Source organism: Homo sapiens, chromosome 18, assembly GCF_000001405.40.
Source record: "Homo sapiens chromosome 18, GRCh38.p14 Primary Assembly".
In the NCBI taxonomy this organism is placed as follows: domain Eukaryota; kingdom Metazoa; phylum Chordata; class Mammalia; order Primates; family Hominidae; genus Homo; species Homo sapiens.
In genome coordinates, this window is record NC_000018.10 from 10,467,776 (window position 1) to 10,481,212 (window position 13,437).

Below are 13,437 nucleotides of genomic sequence, written 5' to 3' on the forward strand. Positions count from 1 at the left end.
AGGAGGGTGCAAGGTTCACACCACGTGGTGAGCAGCCCTGTAGAGGGCATCCACTTGAAGACAGAGAACCAGAAGATGCATGGCTTGGTGTAAGCAGATGGAGCCAAGCCAGCAAGCACATCCCAGCTGGGAATCTTCCTAGTCTCCTGGGCCTTCTCCTTCCATCACTGCCCAGGCTGCAGTTTCATTGAGGCTGGTCTCCTTGTTCTTTCCTTTCCTCACCTAAATCTGTCATTGTGTAAATTCACCCTTATTGATGACACCTCTTTCACCTCTCCCCACCTCCTCCACTTTGGTGACTCCAGAACATGTTCATTTCTCTCTGCTACAGTGCCAGTCACCTTCCCTTGGCCGCCTTGCACAAACACTCCTCAGATGCACAACCTTCATTGTTGCTTCATAGATGCATGGATTTGATCTCTGGCTTTGCCAGGAACTAGCTAAGTGACCTCAAGCAAGTTATGTTGGTGATCTCCAAGGACCTCAGTTTTCTCACCAGGGAATTGATCTACAATGACACTTGCCACTTTGGAATGTGCATCATACACGAGAGCACGCACTGTGATGACACCTTGTAGAATAAACAATCATTTCCCACCTTCAGCCACTGTCTGCTGCAGAGGTGGTTGTTTGGCCTGATTCATGTCTGCTGCTACTTCTTCTTTTGGCTAACTTTCCACCTTTATTTTTCAGGGCTGGGAGAGGGTTCTGCCCTCCTTCATCCAGACAGCAGGTCTCATCCTAGGTCCTTAGAGAAAAGTGCCTGGAGGGCTTTTAAGGAGTCACAGTGCCATCACATGCTCAAACATCTCCACAATGGTGCAAGGATCACAGTGCAGATGCCACCTACAATCGAGGGCCACTGGGTCTCCACAGGGTAAGAGGACAGGTGGGGTCTGGGAGAGGCCAGAGAGCACACCACTATGGAAGACCCTTCTTATGGGTTCTCAGATGCAGAGACTTTATATCATTTACAATGATTTAGGTGTTGTCCAAGTTCTAATGAAGAACCAAACCACTCTTTGAAATTATGGTTGGTTAAGAAAAAGAGCTAAGTACTGTAGAAATCTTATGCTAAAGCAGAGATTATATTGTACTCCTGTTAACCACACAGTGTGAGTGAATAGATCCTTGTTTACTGAACTCTATGGGACCACTTGTGTATAAAAAGAAACCATTAGCAAGTGAAATTAAGAGACTGTGTTTCACCAAGCCTGAAACATGACTTGCAAGCTCCGGATGGTCTAAATATTCTAGCCATATTCTGGTAATTTAATATATGGCTTCAGGGTTCTAAGAGTAAGTTAAAAGCTACCTCTACTAGCCAGGGTGCAGTTCTTGGATTCTTTTCCATGCTATGAAGCTGAGATTTATCCCAGTTTGAGCTCTGGCTTATCTTCCATTAGAGCTTTTAAAAATAGCCGAGAGGCAGATCTGCGATTTTTTTTTTCTACCCATTAGATTGCTGAGAATTAACAAGACTAACTCTGGGATCTGATCACTTCTCCCTGTGCGCTGTTCCCGGGATATGGATAGCAGCCTTCAAGTTCCTTGGGGAGGGATCAGATGAATATGGAGAAGAGAAAAAAAGAAATTGTATAAGATGATGAAGACCCAGAATTTTATTTCATAAAAATGAGGTCTCTCCAAATAACCACGATAAACAATTTGTATAAACAACCTTCATGTTACATACTTTTAAAATATTTATCATTTTATTCAACAAATATTTATTGAGTGCCTACCATATGCCAAACACTATTTTAAGTTTTGTTTATATAGCAGTGAACAAAACAGACCTGGTCCCTGTCTTCAAGGGTTTTATAAGTAAATACACAAGAAGTACTATGAAAGTGGAGGGGTTGGGGCAGCAACAGGTGCTAAAAGAGAATACCAGGGGGCCCCATTTTAAAATCAGGGCGGAGTTCAGAAAGCCTACCAAAGAAGGGGACCCTTGAGCTGAGACATTGTTGGCTGTGCAAAGACTGTGGGAAGAGCTTTGTATTTAAAGAACCAGATGCCAGGCTAGATGCAGAGTGAGCAAGAGGCTGGCTAGATTGGAGGACCTGCTGGCTGAGAACCCTGTGGCTGGGATGCAGTAAACCAGGGCAGACAGCCTCACATGAGGCTGCTGGGGAGGGTAGGCCAGCTCTAAGGCATCTTGCAGACCAGATCTTCTAACCTAAGAGAACTGAAAAGTCATTGAAGAGCTTTCAGCAGGGGCCATGCTTAAAATATGATTCAGCTTTTTGAAAGAGCATTCTGGCTGCTGTTTGGCAAATGGACGGGAGAAAAAGTGATTTGGGGGTGACCAGTTAAAAGACCTTTGCAGCCGTTCTGGTTAGAGAGCACAGAGGCTTAGGTAAGAGGAGCTGCAGGAGCAACTGAGAAGTGAGTGGGCCTGAGATCCACTGTACGTGGCAGGCAGAATCAACAGACTGTTGATGCTTAGATTAAAAAATTAAACAAAAGGGATCTTCTTTTCTAAACCTCATCTAACATGAATCACTGCTTACACTAAACTTCTCTTTCCTTGTGGGAGAAATCTGGGGTGTTTGCTCTCTCCTTTTTCTAAGATTACAGATACCCCAGGTACTGTTGAGTGCTTTATGTCCATAGGATGTTACTCGACATCAGTTGTCAAACGTTACATAGCAACGGTACCCCTGTCTAAATAATGCTTATCTTTCACCAGTCCATCAATGAGCAAATTAAAATGTTAGCAATTTTGAAAACCACTTGTGTTTGGCATTTTAGCCTGACTGCTTGATTTAGCAGCGCTTCGTCAGTTCAAACCAGAATCTGTGTTAGCATCATAGATGAGAGCAGAGTGGGAAGGCCAGAATTGATGAGCTGAAAGTCATGGCGTAACTGAGACTAGGAGCTAACAAAAGGCTAAGGCCAGGTCATTTGGCCAGGGCTTTAAGTACCTCCCCGTACCCCCATTGCAGCCTCAGCTAGTATATGTGAATGGCTGACAGAGCCGTTTGTGAAATCCCTCAATTCCATCCCGCTGCTGTTATGCTCTGTAGATTCTGTCTCAGTGCTTCTGGCTCAGGAACCTAGCATTCATCTAAGGCCACACTGGCAACCATCATAAACAAAAGGAACCCTTATTTCTGTTGTGCCAGCTTTGCTTTTAGTTAATTGCCCCCTTTACTTTTCTACTAGAGAGAAAATTAATTCTGAATGGACAAGAAGATGCTAGATGACTAGATTCTGTCTCAGGATGACAGACATTTTGCACCTGCCTGCTGTAGACAAGGTCCATAAAATAAAAGTGTTCAGGAAGTCGACCGTTTTTGAACTAGCGTAAGGGAACTTCTTTTATAGGCCAGCACAGCACTCATCCTCCTTATCCAGAAAGAAATGCCTGCACAGGGCAGCAGGTGTTTGCCCTCCTGGCCTGCTCGTGAAGCGAGTGGAAGGCTGGCTGAGGCAGAGTGATTAGGAGCACAGCATCAGAGCCAGGCTGCCTGGATTCATGGACTGGCTCTGATACTTGCTGGTCATGTGCTCTTGGGCATGTTCCCTAACCTCAGTTTCCCCACCTGTAAAACCTGGGTGATGATAATACCTAACTCCTAGGTTGTTGTGAGGAGTCAATGAGTTGGTATCTATAAAGGGCTGACAACAGAGTCTGGCCCATCGTCAGCACTTTATTATTATTTCTGTAATTTCTTAATACTATAATGAATCTCTTTCCCATACCTTCAGGCTTACAAAGGTCTCTTCTTCCCCTTTTCTTGCCCAGCTGTGAAGTAAGGTCAGGCCCAGAGTTCATCACAAGGTCCTACAGATTCTACCACAATAACACCTTCAAGGCCTACCAATTTTATTATGGCAGCAACCGGTGCACAAATCCCACTTATACTCTCATCATCCGGGGCAAGATCCGCCTCCGCCAGGCCTCCTGGATCATCCGAGGGGGCACGGAAGCCGACTACCAGCTGCACAACGTCCAGGTGATCTGCCACACAGAGGCGGTGGCCGAGAAGCTCGGCCAGCAGGTGAACCGCACATGCCCGGGCTTCCTCGCAGACGGGGGTCCCTGGGTGCAGGACGTGGCCTATGACCTCTGGCGAGAGGAGAACGGCTGTGAGTGCACCAAGGCCGTGAACTTTGCCATGCATGAACTTCAGCTCATCCGGGTGGAGAAGCAGTACCTTCACCACAACCTCGACCACCTGGTCGAGGAGCTCTTCCTTGGTGACATTCACACTGATGCCACCCAGAGGATGTTCTACCGGCCCTCCAGTTACCAGCCCCCTCTGCAGAATGCCAAGGTACCTCAGAGCTCTGTGTTCTCCTCTTTATTGAGTAAAGTGGGTGATCCTTCTTAAAGGCTTGCCATGGGGGCTCTAGGGCACCCTTGAAAGGGGGAATTCTGCATCATGGCGGGGCAGGCCAAGGTGGGGCTGCTGCGAGGTGGGAGGAGATGGGAAAGGCTGGGGCTGAGGGTGCTTTAGCCAGTCAGGAGACCTGGGTCTGCCACCAACTTGCTCTGTGACTTGGAACCTCGGTTATCCTACTGAAGTGGGTGGTGGCATGGGATGATGGTTCTAGAAAATTCCTAAGGCTCCTTTCAGCTCTCCCATCCCAGGAACCTCTTCAGTGATTCCAAGAGGACAGTGTGAAGGCGATGTCATAACCACACCTGGAAAAGATACTAAACAATAGCAGCTACCCAGGCCCTGGAGGAGGCGGGGAGGGACAGAAAGGGGAGGTGACAGTGGGATTTGTGTGGGGTGTTAGACTCCACGGAGACTGTCCACCAGAGTCACCCTGGTGAGTCCCGACACTCTTAGGCAGAACAGCCTGCTGAGGTCCCAGGGGTTATGGCTCCTGCCCAGGCCACGCGGCTACTGAGTTTTCCTGCTGGACCATGAGTCCAAAGGTCCTTCCTCCATACCCCACGTTCTTTTCATTTCACTAAGGAAAATGTAAAGTCACCATAATCAGAAGAGGGGACTAAGGAGAGCAGGAAACAATTAAACCTTATAATGTCTTTTCCTTGAATGATATTCTAGTAATTATATTTGGAATTCACAAGGCATTTCCTTCCCACAAGCTTAGAGTACACGTCCATGTGTAACTCGATCACCTCCACCATCTCCCCGCAGAGCCTGTGAAGTCCCAGGCAGGAGGGGAGTGGGCTTCTGCCCAGTGCGTAGTGTGAACGTGCAGACCCGGGCCTGCTGCGGGTGGGCGGTGGGCAGGTCTCTGTGGAGTATCTCCCCGGCCGTCCCCATTGACTTCGTGGAACACTCTCTAGCACGGTGGCTCTGTAACTGTGGAGCCCTGCTTAACTTTTGTTTGGTGGTTTCTTCATTTTTTAAAAATCTTTTTTCTTATTAGTCCTCCAAGACTACTCATAACCAATAGAGGTATCACAGGGCACTTCTGCCAAAGACTGCTCCGTGTTATCTTTTTTTAATCTATGTTATTGTGAGCTTGTGCAATGCAAGTGGCTCTTATTATAATAATGAAATAGCTACTGAGAAAGCCCACCTGGTGGAGGCTGCTTCCTCTGGATGAATCTTTTCATGGCTGTGTCCCCGCGTGTGAGATGAAGCCCTGTGCTCAGCCCATGTGCCCAGGCCCAGCATTCCTGCCGGCTCAGGATGCCCTTGGGGGTTTGTTCCAACACAGATCAGGAGCCAGGCTCATTTCATTCTGCCTTGTAAGTTTCAAATGCACTGAAGAGGCCAACATGAATTAGGGCAGAGAGGGAGGGCAGCCTCTGATGCCGGCTCCATTGCTGCAGCTGTCAGGGGGTCCCAGAGGTTTTCCTAGAATGGGACACAGGGAAAGGAGACCAAAACTCTGCCCTTCAACATGTTGATTCCCCTGGGCAGGTATCAGAAGGAGAATCGGCTCATAGGGTGATACCTGGACTGGGGTGTGCTTTCTGGGTCAGGGTTGAGTGGGTGTCTTGGGAAAATGGGTAAGAATAATGGGCTTCGAATTATACTTTGGGGCCTTTCTGGTTGGCAGCACTGCCCAAAGGCGGCACTGGACACTGTAGCTGCATAGCATTTCTCTTGTTTTATACTGGCCAGGTCCACTTGGTTTGAGATAGTAGCAGGAGAAGGGGCTTCATACCTACCTTTGGCTCGCTCTGAGTATAGTCTAGCCACCTTTCTGGGATTTTTTTTTTTTTTTTTTTACGGAGTTTTGCTCTTGTCACCCAGGCTGGAGTGCAGTGGCACCATCTTGGCTCACTGCAAGCTCCGCCTCCCGGGTTCAAGTGATTCTCCTGCCTCAGCCTCCAAGTAGCTGGAACTACAGGCTCCCACGACCATGCCCAGCTAATTTTTGTATTTTTAGTGGAGATGGGGTTTCACCATGTTGGCCAGGATGGTCTCCAACTCCCGACCTCCAGTGATCCGCCCGCCTTGGCCTCCCAAAGTGCTGGGATTACAGGCGTGAGCCACCGTCCGCCCGGCCGCCATCTTTCAAATGATCTCAGGTAACGGGAGGAAGGTGTGAATGTCATGAATTAAAACGGCCCACAGATAATCCAGAAACCTGGGGTTAGCCAGGAGCATCCCCGCAACCCGCCGTTCCCTCGGGGCCTTTGTGAAGGTCTGCTGAATAGGAAAAGCCTGCCCACTTTCTAGCAGAGACACCAAAGAGCCTCAAAACACCAAAAAGCACGGGGAGCCTTGAGTGCGAGGTCTGAGTGAGGAGGCAGGTGCGGCTGGGGAACTTGCTGGGCGGGCGTGGGCCGGGCTGTGGGCTCCGAACCCGACCTTGGACTAGTCCTTTGCACCCACTCAGGTTCTGGTTCCTTTTCCTCACCTTCATGCGCCTGCACGGGCTCTGATCTCTTCTGCTCTTTTTAGTACTGGGGGAAAAATTAACCATCATCACGTTTATTTTCTTACCTGCCTCTCTACCCCGTTGCACTCCTGGGTGTGGCTCCGCAGATGGAGTCTGAAAGCCCAGTCAGCATTGTTAAGGCTGGCGCCCAGGGGTACTCCAGGAGGGGACACTTCATTCCCGTCAATGTCCCTCTGCAGACCTGTCTGTGGCTCCTGGAGGGAAAATGCCCCACAAGTGAAAATTATTAAATATTGGCATGGCAATTAAAGACAGCAATTGTAAAGCTGACCTTTTTAGAATTTAACACCTTTTGGACAAATTGGCAAGTATGTGGACTTCAGAAACGGTAGCCAATCCTGGAAGCCAGTTCTGCTGTCATCAGCCGTGTGGCATTGGTAGTTATCTGACCTACTGGAGACTTCATTTTCCTTTTCTGTAAAATGGCAAAAATATAAGAATCAATAGGGTTAATGTGCAGAATCCTGTGGGCATCAGGATAGGGCCTGAATGCAAAGCTCCATCTCTCTTAACCTAGAGTAAGTCGCCCTTCTGGGCCAATGGCTCAGAGAGGAATGAAAATGACAATGTCGACTGACCAGGGAACATCAAAGTGTTTCATGATGCCTAGCCATAAAACACTTCCTCCCATTTTCTCCTCCCTGCTCTGCTAAGGCAGTTGTGGGAACATTTACCCAGATTCTTAAGAAATAGACTCTTTAAATCCCAGGCCTGATTCCTTGATGACAGAAAATTAAGGTGGAAAGAGCTTTAGGACCTTAGATACTACACGAGACATATTGTTAAGTAGGAAAAAAGGAAGTTATAAAATAGCGTGAATAATATGATACCATCTGCATAAAACTAATAATGAAAGGAGAAGAAGAGGGACTCTTTGCAAAGGAATCAGATATTTATGGAGGAAATTAATGACTGCCTCAGAGGAAGTGACAGAGTTGTCTATCTGGGATTGTCGGACAGAGACTTCACTTTTGGTACCTGTTGCATTTTGTGCTGTGATCTTCTATTACCTAAGCACAGTCATCACAGAAAATTTAGATTAAAAAAAAAAAAAAGCAAGCAAACACTCCCAGACCCAGAGGAATGCTGTGGCCACAGATGCAGGTGGCAGCCCAGCTGGAAGGAGGACCCAGGCTTCCTGAGCCAGCCTAGCTGCCTCGCAAGATGGCTGAGGGGGGGGGGGGTCAGTGGAAGGCCGAGTGGCTCTGGTAGCTGAAAGGGTCCATTCTTCTCTTGTCTCTCGCCTTGTACCTCTTGGCCTGCAGTGTGCAGCGGAGTCTTCAGGAAGTTTTCAGATCCTTCCCCAGGACAGCTCTGAGAAGGAACAAAATGGACTCAGCCATTGGTGTCTTTCCAGACCCGGGCACCAGAAAGACTGGGCACTGTGTGCCCACGCGGGCCCAGCCACAGCAGGTTGTCCGAGCTGTCTGTGGCCGCCAGCGGAGACAGGAAGAAAGGCTGGGAGAACGTCTTCAAAGACCGTACACGCCTGCCCAGGAGAGGCTGGAACCTCCTCCTTTGAACTCTTCTACTTCCCTAATTGCTGGTCCATAGAGACCAAGCTGAAAATTAGTTTAAATGCTAAATTGAGTTTCAAACCACGAGCCTCAGCCCCTCTAGAAACAGGACACCGTGTAAAAATAGAAACTTTAAGTCAACTTGTTTTTCTAAGCTTTATACAGCTTTGCTGTGAGGTCCAGAGTCCTTTGGCAAATAAGTGACGTTTGAAGAGATTCAGGTGTGCTGGGAGGGTTCATTCAGGATGGAACTGGCTACTCTTCATTATAAAAAAGTCAAGACAGCGTAAAGTAACCCTGAAAGAAGATGCTTTGCCTGAATCAAGTTTAGCGTCAGAGCAGCCATAATCCTCTGCCGAGATTCTTCAGAACTATGCAGTTGGAGGGGTAGAAGCCAGGCTCATTCTTTCAGGGATGGAATCAAATGGTAATTAAAAGCAAATGATTGCCAAGGTCGTTAGAGATGCCAGAGCCTCAGGATCAGACTCGTAAGCAAATGGAATTGGTCTTTCTCCAAAATCCTGCACTGATTTAACCACAGGATCGTAAATCAAAGGGGCTGTCTGAAAACCAGACAGCCTTCCCCAGGCTGTGCATCTGAAATACTCGATCCCAGCACATGTACAGCAGGGGAGCTACACACGGGAGGGAGAAAAGCACCGGGCTTTGGGAGTACCTGAGAACTGCAGAAAAAGAGCATGCTGTGCTTTCTCTCTCAAATTCTTTAGGAGCCGCTAGGCTGGAGCCAGCATATGTTTTTGAGGTAGCTTGCCTCTCAGAGGCTTTTTAGAGGATGTGTGACCTGTGCAGCTTCCTGATGTCAGTGACACCATGGGGATGTTGAGTCAGGTGGTCTTGGAGCCTGGACTTTTCAGCCTAGCTGCAGGAGCCAGCATGGAGGGACGTCTCCTGAGCATGTGCTTGGTGTGGCTCCTGGGTGGGTGGGCGGCTGCGTCTCTGGGGTATAGAAGGAGCCAGGTGCTTGTGGAAGAATTCCATACCACTTTTCTTTCTGCTAGTGTGGATTTGCAGAGGTGATGGGAGATGGACGAGGTGGTGGACAACCAGAAGTTCAAGAAGTCATGACCTAAGACAGTTTCAAGAACTAGTCTTACAGGAAGGAGAACCCTAGAAGAAAACTGTGACTGCTCCCTGGAGCCAGGTGTTTCCTATAAGGCAGCAAATGTTGCACAATTCTATGAAAAAACAGAGCTGGCAATTGGGATAGGTTGAGGGGGTCTTGACCCTGAAGGGGTTGCTTTTGTGGACCTTTTATCTGGGCCGAGGTGTGCAGTGTCACAATCACTGGGCTACAAGGCTGCTGATAGACACTTCTATTGCAGAAACAGCTCATTATATTTCTTGACTCCAGAGTATTTCAGCAGATAAACAGGCATGCAAGGTTGCTTTATTTAAGGAGTTAGGGGACCAGGAAATATTTGTTGTCAGGGACAATGCAAGTGGTAAATATTTTATCCCTTAAAAGGCAAGAAAGCTCAGAGGACATGAGGAAACCCTGCAAAAGCAGGAAATTGGCCATTTAAAAAGTACGCATGAGGTCCCTACTCCAGGGAGTGTTTGCTGAGCCCCAGGGGAGAAAGGAAGAGGATGGGCCAGCCAGGAGTGCCCAGTGGATTTACAGCAGATTTAATAAGTCTACTTTAATTATTTAAATGAATCAAAATGCATAGGAGTGGAAGAAAGAAACAAGTAAAAAGAAATAAAAATTCTTTTCGGAAACCATTCTTAAAGTCTTTTCTCTTAAAGAACCATCTTCTTAGGGTCCTTTTTCTCCAGTTGCTGGGTGAGGCAAAATGGTCTTTTTTATTATTCTAATGTTAACTAAAACAAAAAAAGGCCTTTGTGAGCTCACTTCTCAGATTCTAAGCTGCCTTGGAAGTCCATTTCCAGAAGGCTAATGTTGCTCTTAAGGACCTACCAGCTGCCCCTGCTGAACTCCAGGGTGCAGAAGTGTTTGGTTGAGTTTTGCTCCCCTCTGCTTCATAGCCAACTACAGACTCAGGAATTAGCAGCCTGGTTTCTCCTTTTCTCCCTCATCCTCCTGGCCCAGGCCCCTTCCTGGACAGTGGTAACAGGCCCGAGGTGGCTGTGCAGCCTCCCTGAGGCTCTCTGAGTACCCCTGGCACCACAGAGGTGCCTGCATCCTGGCAGGGATGACGCAGCTGCACGGGGTCTGTACACTGAGGGGCTGCCCTCACCTGTGGAGAGTGGGTGCTGGGCAGCAGGTGCCTCAGTCCATCCAGGCTGCCATAGCAAAGCAGCATGGACTGGGGACAGCCACTCACTTCTCACAGTTCTGGACGTTGGAGAGCCAAGATCAAGGCACCAGCATGGTGGGAGGCTGGAATCCTGGTCAGGGCTCTCTCCCAGGTTGCAGACTGCTGACCTCCCTCTGTATCCTCATGTGGCAGCAAGACAGCTGGAGAACTCTCAGGCCTCTTTTATAAGGGCACTAATCCCCTTCTTAAGGGCTGTACCCTCATGACCTAGTCACCCCCCACAGGCCCCACCTCCTAATTTCCTCACATTCGTGGTAAGGATTTTAACATGGATTTTGAGGCGACACAAACATTCAGTGTGTTGGATAGACAGCAAGCCTGCCTGGGCAGTCTGTACCTAAAGCCACAGCTCTTCACCCACTTCCTTCTGAAAGTGGCATCATCATGCTCCCTTTAGATGATCAAAATGAGCCCCAATTCACAAGCTCCTAGAATCCCAGATAGGAAAAGCACCCCGAGTTCCCTCCCACAAGGCAGGTGGGCGCCCATCATTTGTGATGAATGCTAGCTACTCCATTTAATTCTTTACATGTCCAATGCCAGCTTTCTCTCCGTTTGCCTGTTAGCCGAGAACCCTGTGCAACTCTCTCCTGGATGTCATGGGAAATATGACAAAGAGAGAACACTTGGTCTTGGCCTCAAAGGACTCGTAATACAGAAGACCCGAGAAGGATGTACCTGCAGGGTTATCTACAGCAGAAATTTAATCAAATACTTGGCACATCGCAGTTACAAAGAAAGTTTTCAACGTGGGCCATTGGCCACTGCAGGTTTCTTTGTGAGAAACATTTGTGTGTTTTTTATCCGAGGGAACAAAACCCTAGGAAAGGAAGTTTCCATCATCTACTCCCATTTTTCCTCCTTCTTGAACAAAACTTTTAGCTCAAGGAACACTGCTTTTGAAGGCTTGTGTTTCATGCAGCCTGCTTCCTTAGTTGATCTGTTCACAAGATCACATCAAGTAATTTCTTCCATTCTGGGAAGATGGCGAAAACAAACAGATACTGTCAGCAGATGTTGATGAACCACCTTTCCAGAAATAAACAGTGGCAGGGAACAGAGAAAGCCTGGAGAATCCCCATCAGTCATCAGCCGGAGAAGACCTTTTCCTGGGCTGGAGTCCTTGCTGGGGAAACGTCTGTTCTCTGCAGCCTGAGGCAGCTCTGGCCAGGAGGCAGCACTCAGCAAGTCCTAAGACCAAATTACCATCCTGGCTCCACTTTGGGTTTGTAAAGTCATCTGACTTTTTCTCTCCAGGTGCCTTAGTTGCCTCGTCTGTAAAATGTACCCATGGTCTCCTGGGAGGTTGTAAAGTCTAAGGAGATGCTGTACTTGAGCCTCCGAGACTCGAATATCCTGTAAATGCAAGCTGTAGCTATTTAACTTGTTACCTGGAGCTAAGCAGGAATCAGAGAGCAGAGTAGGCAGAACCCCACTCTTTGCCTAGAACATTGCTCATTTATAAAGTATAAGTTTCTTTCTCATTTTTAGAACAAGTTTAATTTTTTTTCCAGAGATTATTTGCATGGGATCCTTTTTCTCCCTTCCCCTTTCTGATGAAAGCTTTTTATAGTGTGTGTAAAGAATAGCAACAAGGAAACACTTTCTGGTTCCTCTGCTTTAACCTTCAAATCTTCTGGGTACAGAAGCTCTGGCTTTAAATAGCCCTTTCTAAGATTCGGGGAAAGGGGATGCCGTGGAAGCCAAGTTGGTGAGCCTGGGAGAGGACACTTCTCAAATGAGAGTCATGTCTTGGAACATGGATCCCCAAAAAAGAGGGAATAATTTTACGGAGCAAATGATACTCCACAGTACCAATCACTCATCATGTTTAAAAACTGCATATCTAATTCTCTTTCCATGTATCCATCTTGGAAGAATACTGTTTCCGAAAAACATCTCAGAAAAGAGAAACTTTAGAATGAATACAATATACAGGCTTTAATTTCTGCTTCTCTGTAGTTGTGCCTGTAGGTCTCTAATTTTTATTCAGGCCAAAGATTATGAGAATTAGCATAAATGATATTTTTAAAATTTGTTACAATACAGAGGTGTCTCCTTATTCAACGGTAGCTAAAATTGTCCCCTCGTTGACAGTATCCACAGAGGCCAGAAACAACTCTGCTTGTTATGATAACTTTGGCTTCTTCATGACTGCTAAAGAGTTGTCCCAGCACTTGGGGAGGCTGAGGCAGGCAGATTGCCCTGAGCTCAGAAGTTTGAGACCAGCCTGGGCAACATGGTGAAACCCCGTCTCTACAAAAAATACAAAAAAAAAATTTATCCAGTCATGGTGGTGCACACCTGTAGTCCCAGCTACTTGGGAGGCTGAGGTGGGAGGATTGCTTGAGCCTGGGAGGTGGAGGTTGCAGTGATCTGAGATCACATCACTGCACTCCAACCTGGGCAACCCCCAGACTTTCTCTTTCCCACCTCCAACAGTGAGACCCTGTCTCAAAAAAAGAAAAAAAAAAGGTAACTAGTCAACAACCAAAAAAAATAAAAAATAAAAAAAATTGGCAAAGAAAAATGTAAATTAAGACCACAATGAGCTATCAGTTTACCCAGTAGGATGGCTATTACAAAATACAAAACGATCAAAACTAGAAAATATCCAGTATTGGGAAGGATGTGGAGAAATTGGAACCTTATACATTGCTGATGGAAATGTAAAATGATTGAGCCACTCCAGAAAATGGTACGGTGGTTCCCCCCAAAAATTAAACATAGAATTACCAAATTGATCCACCTATTCTCCTTCTGGGTACATACCC

The 13,437-nt window shown here is 47.3% G+C and overlaps 1 protein-coding gene across 1 annotated transcript in view, besides 1 other annotated feature; it reads left to right on the top strand.

Annotated features, from left to right (window-relative positions):
- APCDD1 (APC down-regulated 1) overlaps nt 1–13,437 on the top strand; it is a 35,315-nt gene that overhangs the window by 13,141 nt on the left and 8,737 nt on the right. Inside the window, exons 2-3 of the mRNA NM_153000.5 lie at nt 694–877; nt 3,755–4,286. Of these exons, the coding sequence (NP_694545.1) occupies nt 694–877; nt 3,755–4,286 (716 nt within the window). The remainder of the gene's footprint in view (nt 1–693; nt 878–3,754; nt 4,287–13,437) is intronic.
- Nucleotides 9,737–10,031: a silencer, noted in NCBI's record as "tiled region #1128; K562 Repressive non-DNase unmatched - State 22:ReprW". NCBI's record gives its function as "represses a minimal TATA promoter and a strong SV40 promoter by Sharpr-MPRA in K562 cells {active_cell/tissue: K562}" and the evidence as "EXISTENCE:reporter gene assay evidence [ECO:0000049][PMID:27701403]".